This window comes from Homo sapiens, chromosome 1, assembly GCF_000001405.40.
Source record: "Homo sapiens chromosome 1, GRCh38.p14 Primary Assembly".
Taxonomy (NCBI): Eukaryota; Metazoa; Chordata; class Mammalia; order Primates; family Hominidae; genus Homo; species Homo sapiens.
Genome location: NC_000001.11, coordinates 12,739,615 through 12,746,290, shown reverse-complemented (window position 1 = coordinate 12,746,290; position 6,676 = coordinate 12,739,615). Strand labels below are relative to the sequence as shown.

The window sequence follows — 6,676 nt, the reverse complement described above, 5'->3', positions numbered from 1 at the left end:
CCTTGCTAACCTCAGAGAATAAAACGGCCCCAAGAGTTCACTGTCAGCCTTTAGGGAGAGTTGATCTATCTTGGATTCTCTACTGTTGACTGTCTCCATGGTGACAGACTCTGAGTATAAATACTCTCTGTAAGAGAACAGCTGATTCTGCAGAAGCAAAATTGACCTCACAGAAACAAATCAAACCAACCACCACACCACAAAAGCAGTCGCCAGAAGAACCTGGTTTCTGTGTTCTCACCACAATACTAGTATCATCCTTGCTACACTTTCACATTTGGGGTGAGTTAAAGTCTGCTACTATTTAATGAATGTTGATGTGCTTGCTCCAAGCAAAGACATTTATGCACATTTATTCACCTGTTTAATCCTCACAGCAGCCCTCTGACGCAGATGCCATTATTATACCCATTTTACAGATGAGGACACTGAAGCAAAGAGATTAAGTAGCTGCCTAACATCATGCAGTTGTGATGGGATTTAAATCCACGCTGGTTCAGACCTAAACCAGTGGGCTCCATTCATTTCCTATCTGCTACTTTGTAGGGGCTTGCACAAAGAATTCTGTCTTTGTGCTCACACTGGTATAATATGCTTCATTTGCTCAGTCTTCATTCATTCATTCCACAATCATTTCCCATTCTATGCCAGGTGCTTAGCTACAGCTGCAATGCATTAGCAATTAGACCTGGGCACCATCCCCACAGAGCTCAGTCCAATGAGATAAGGGCCTTTGTCTTGCTCATTCATTAGGAAAAAAAAAAAGTCAAAAAGCACCAAGATATCCATCAGCAGAGGGCTTGTTCAATAAACTGTAATACATCCAGATGATGAAATCCTCTGCAAGAGTTTTAAAGGCTGACTTTAAAAGATGCCTATAACATGTGGTTAACTAAACAAAACTCTGTGTGCTATAGTATTGCTTGCTAAAAGTGAAGAGGCTGGATTTCGCTAGGCAATTCAGAGAAAGTTTCCAATGGCCTTCAAACAAAAATAGAGGAACTCCAGGAAACTATGTGTTCCATCTTGAAACTAAGCCTGAGGCAGGAAATGACCATGAAAGATGTTCTGCAGGTTAGAATAAACCTTTATTTAGCAGAGACCACAGTTGGGGCAGGGCTGGAGCTAGGAAGAGGAGGTGTCCTTCCAATTAACATGCAGAGGAGGCATGCGTTCGGTATAATTTAATTTTTTTTTTTTTTTGAGACAGAGTCTCGCTCCGTCGCCCAGGCTGGAGTGCAGTGGGATGATCTCGGCTCACTGCAAGCTCTGCCTCCCAGGTTCACGCCATTCTCCTGCCTCATCCTCCCAAGTAGCTGGGACTACAGGCGCCTGCCACCACGCCCAGCTAATTTTTTGTATTTTTAGTAGAGACGAGGTTTCACCGTGTTAGCCAGGATGGTCTCAATCTCCTGACCTCGTGATCCGCCCGCCTCGGCCTCCCAAAGTTCTGGGATTACAGGCATGAGCCACCACACCTAGCGCGGTATAATTCAATTTTCAAAACCTTTTATTGTCGCATAAAACACAAATATCAAAAAGTACGTTAAAAATAAATGTACAGATAAATGAATTATGGAATAGCAAAACCCCACAAAAAACACTGAGCTGGTCAAGAAATAAAATATCGCCAGCACGCCCAAAGTACTCCACATGTCCCTCCCACTCACAACCCATTCCTCCCCTAAAGGAAACCACTCTCTTGACTTCTATAGCAATCACTTCCTTGCTTTTCTTTATATGCTTACTGCCAAAGTATGCTCTTAAACAATAATGTTCAGTTTTGCCTGTTTGGGGACTTTCATATAGTTTCAATCCTATAGTATGCAATGAGTCTGATTTCCCCAGTGGGGTTAATATTTTTAAGATTCACGCATTTTGCATGTAACCATGGTTGCTGTGACTGTTTTATACATGACAGTCATTGGAAAGACCACCAGCATGGCTAAATAGTAAAAAGAAGAGCTTTAATGGCGATAGCAGTTTGCAAACTGCACAGAGAGACAGTCTCCAGCATGGATCAGAGGTACTCTCTCTTCCAAGAGAGGAAGGACAGGTTGGGTTTCATGCTTCACAAGGCCTGTGTTTATATATATTCAGCAGGTTTGGGGGGAAGCTATACATACTTATGAGTGGAACTGAGCACATACACAATGGAAAAACATGTATGTAACATACATCTTTCCTAAACAATAATGTTTAGCTTTGCGTGTTTGTGGACTACATATAAATGGAATCCTATCGTATGTATTTACTCAAGTCTAGCTTGTTTTCCCCAATATTGTTAATGTGTTTAAGATTCACCCATGTTGCACATAGACATGGCTGCTATGACTGTTTTGTACATGATCGTCATCCGAAAGACCACCAGGGTGGCTGAATAGCAGGACAGCTTTATTGGTGATACCGGTTTGCAAAGTGTGGGCCAGGTTTTAATATTAAATGAGGTGGAATTTGGTTCTTTATGTCAAAAGGTGAAATATAGGACACAAAGAGAGTTTGTGCACAGCCTCTATAAGCTGGCTGAAACTGGCTTTAGGTCTGCAATAACTTGCCAGAAAAGAATGTTTGTAAGGCCAGTCCTCTGTCCAATCAGAGTTGTAGTGGCCTAGGTTGTAAATCAGCCTGAGGGGCCCTATTATTAGGGAGTTTAGCAAGGGTCTTTTTTCCTATAGCCACAGAAGATTAGAAATTTGCCATGCTGAGACCGAGCACGGTGGCTCATGCCTATAATCTCAGCACTTTGGGAGGCCAAGGCAGGTAGATTGCTTGAGCCCAGGTGTTCGAGACAAGCCTGGACCACATGATGAAACCCTGTCTCTACAAAATACACAAAAATTAGCCAGGTGTGGTGGTGTATGACTGTGGTACCAGCTACACGGGAGGCTGATGTGGGAGGATTCCTTAAGCCCAAGAGGTAGAGATTGCAGTGAGCCATCATCTTGCCACTGCACTCCAGCCTGGGTGACAGAACAAGACTTTGTCTCAAAAAAAAAAATTATCAGGCCAGCCAAGCTCTGAACCCTCAACCTGTAGGTAGCTTTTGTTTCCTTAGCCTTAGGGTCTTAGTTGATACAGGGGCGTCTATTTTGGTCTCTCAGATCACATGATACGTATATCCTGGTGCTCAAATATAGCCATTTCTCTAGGGCAGTGGGTCTTAAGCATTTTGGCCTTGGGACCTCTTAATCTCATAAAAATTATTGAGGACTCAGAGGGCTTTTTAAATGTGGATTATATTAGTGGTGCTGGAGCCAGGTAGCACCTGCTCATGAGAGCCAGTTTCGATCTCTTCCCAATCCCATGCTCTATGAAGTCACATTGGTAGCTTGACATCAGTCGCAGTGGGAATATTTACACCACAGAATTGGCAAAGGCTACATATCAGGCTGCTGGGTTTTTTTTCCCAGAAAATGAGTTTGTCAACATGTTACTGGTTATATTCATCAATGTTTACCATATTAGAAATTAAAACAGTCTGGGCACAGTGGCTCATGTGTGTAAACCCAGCATTTCGGGAGGCCAAGGCAGGAGAATTACTTGAGCCCCAGGAGCTCAAGACCAGCCTGGGCAACGTGGTGAAGCTCCATTTCTTAAAAAAATATATACACAAAAAATAGCCAGGCGTGGTAATGCACGCCTGTAGTCCCAGCTACTAAGGAGGCTGAGATGGGAGGATCCCTTGAGCCCAGGAGTTTGAGGCTACAGGGAGCTACGATCATGCCACTGCACTCCAGCCTGGGTGACAGAGAAAGACCCTGTCTCAAAAAAAGAAAGAAAGAAATTAAAACAGAAATTTAAAATATATTTATTAATTTCCAAATAACAAAAAAAAACTCATTTCATGTTAACATAATTAATTTTTTAATAAAGATTAAATCCATTTTCCAAAACAAAAAATTTGAATAAATTTTTTGCCCATTGGTGATTTTGGTGGTCATCTGGAAAATATTGCTTTACTAAGCTGTGTAGCTCTTCCAAACTATACAATATTTTTAAAAAGCACACTTGCTGCTGGTTACAGTGGCTCACACCTTGTAATACCAGCACTTTGGGAGGCTGAGGCGAGCAGATCACTTGAGCCCAGGAGTTCAAGATCAGCCTGGGCAACATGACAAAACTCCATCTTTACAAACAAATACAAAAATTAGCCAGGCGTGGTGATGCACAGTTGTAGTCCCAGCTACTGGGAGAGTGAGGTAGGAGGATGGCCTGAGCCCAGGAGGTCAAGGCTACAGTAAGCAGCGATTGCACCACTGCACTCTAGCCTGGGCAACAAAGTGAGACCCTGTCTCAAAAAAGAAAAAATCACATTTGCTAACATCATTACTGATATGGTCAGAAAAGCATTGAACTATTAGGAAGTTGTTAAGCTCACAGCGGTGGACGCAAGCTTTCCAAAATTCTAGTTCTAGTTTGAAAGCTCAAAATTTTGTTATTGGCAACAATTAATCTCAGTTGTTTTCCTTGAAGCGACAGACTTACCTCATTCATTTTCAAGGAAACATCAAGAGAACATTTCATCGGGAGGCTGAGACAGGAGAATTGCTCAAACCTGGGAGGCGAAGTTTGCTGTGAGCCGAGATCGCACCACAGCTCCAGCCTAGGCAACAGAGTGAGACTCCGTCTCAAAAAAAAAAAAAAAAAAAAAAAAAATTCAAATTTAAATAATCATGGTTTGTCTGTGAATAATCATGGTCTGTCAAGTAAAAATGGTGTTTCATTTAAAAAAAAAAAAAGCCTGGCTAATTAATTCAGGTCACAACTCAATAATCCACACAAATGCTCTTTCTCAAGACAGCCCTCACCCTTGGATGTGCAACGTCAGTGCCTTATTTGTATCTCTTTCCCATTTCATCACACAGAGTGCTAAAAAGGCATTTGCTCAGGGTCAAGATTTGATCAAATAACTGTTACTTCTTCATCAAAGGACATTCTTAAGTGAACTTAATTTTTTTGTTTAAACTGTGAGTGTGTGGCAGTGAAGAATAAAGGATACTAATATAATTAATGGCACGGCCTTGATTCGTTCACAGGTGCCAGCAATTTTACCCACAAATGCTTTTGCACCATCAAAGTAAGCACTGTGGACCAGGCGCAGTGGCTCGCACCTGTAATTCCAGCACTTTGGGAGGCCGAGGCAGGTGGATCACCTGAGGTCAGGAGTTCGAGAACAGCCTGGCCAACATGGTGAAACCCTGTATCTACTCATAATACAAAAATTAGCCAGAGGGTGGTGGTGCACGCCTCCTCAGCTACTTGGGAGGCTGAGGCAGGAGAATCACTTGAACCAGGAGGTAAAGGTTGCAGTGAGCCAAGATCGTGCCATTGTACTCCAGCCTGGGTGACAAGAGCGAAATTCTGTCTCAAAAAAAAAAAAAAAAAAAAAAAGCACTGTAGAAAAGGGCAAATAACAAGTTAGTATTATTATGAAAATTGTCGGCTGGGCACGGTGGCTCACACCTGTAATCCCAACACTTTGGGAGGCCGAGGCGAGCGGATCACGAGGTCAGGAGTTCAAGACCAGCCTGGCCAACATAGTGAAAGCCCATCTCTACTAAAAATACAAAAAATTAGCCAGGCATTGTGGCGGGCACCTGTAATCCCAGCTACTCGGGAGGCTGAGGAAAGAGAATTGCTTGAACCCGGGAGGTGGAGGTTGCAGTGAGCCGAGATCGCACCATTGCCTCCAGCCTGGGCAACAAGAGCGAGACTCCATCTCAAAAAAAAAAGTAAAAGAAAAAAAAGAAAATTGTTTTGACCCTCCAGGCCCCTTGAAAGGGACTTGGGACCTCCAAGCATCTGTGGGTCTCACTTTGAAACCCACTGCTCTAGAATAAATACGTAGGAGTGGAATTGCTACATCAGAGAGTGCATATGTGTCTCCAGCTGTACTAGATAATGCCAATTATTTTCCAGAGAGTAGTATCAATTTACATTCCCACCATGAGTGTACGGGTGTTTCCATTGCTCCACACCTTCCGGAACTTTTTCAGCATCCCAAACAGAAACTCTGTACCAATTAAGCTGTAACTCCCCATTCTCCCCTTCTCCTAAACCCCTGGTATTCTCTCTTCTCCTTTGTCTCTGTGAATTTGCCTGGTCTAGGTATCTCATATAAGTGGAATCATATAATACTTGTCCTCCTGTGTCAGTTTTCTTGCATTGAGATAATGTTGTCAAGATTCATCTATGTTGTAGCATGTATCAGAACTGCATTCCTCTTTAGGCTGGATGGTATTTCCGTTGTATGTATTTAACACATTGTTTATCCATTCATCTGGTGATGGACATTTGATGTGTTTTCACCTTCTGGCTTTTGTAAATATAATCCTGGTATGAACACTAGTATACAAGTAGCTGTTTGAATCCCTGCCTTCAGTTCTTTGGGTTTATACCTAGGATGAAATTGGCACCACAAAACTGCTTTCTTCTCTCTTTTTTTTTTCCAGGTCAGATGGGTAATGTGCTGACGTCATAACAAGGTTCGAGGGTGGTACATCTCACACACATACATGAACACCCAATCATCAGGTTCACGAACCACAAAAGCATCTGTTTTCCACAGCATCTGCATCATTTCTCATTCCCACCAGCAGAGCACGAGGGTTCCCATTTCTCTGCCTCCTCACCAACACTTGTTATTTTCCAGTTTTTAAACAATAACCAGCCTCGT

At 42.7% G+C, this 6,676-nt stretch overlaps 1 protein-coding gene and 1 non-coding gene across 3 annotated transcripts in view; both read right to left on the bottom strand.

Annotated features, from left to right (window-relative positions):
* CFAP107 (cilia and flagella associated protein 107) overlaps positions 1 to 91 on the bottom strand; it is a 17,500-nt gene extending 17,409 nt beyond the window's left edge. For both annotated transcript variants that reach the window (NM_152290.4, NM_001330361.2), the window contains exon 1: positions 1 to 91. This exon is cut by the window's left edge and continues 251 nt beyond it. The gene's annotated coding sequence lies outside the window, so the exon portion shown is untranslated.
* Positions 92 to 6,451: 6,360 nt separating this feature from the next.
* LOC124904811 (small nucleolar RNA U13) lies at positions 6,452 to 6,555 on the bottom strand. Its single transcript, XR_007067407.1, has one exon. It is a non-coding gene; the product is annotated as a small nucleolar RNA U13 (small nucleolar RNA).
* Between the last annotated feature and the right edge of the window lie 121 nt (positions 6,556 to 6,676).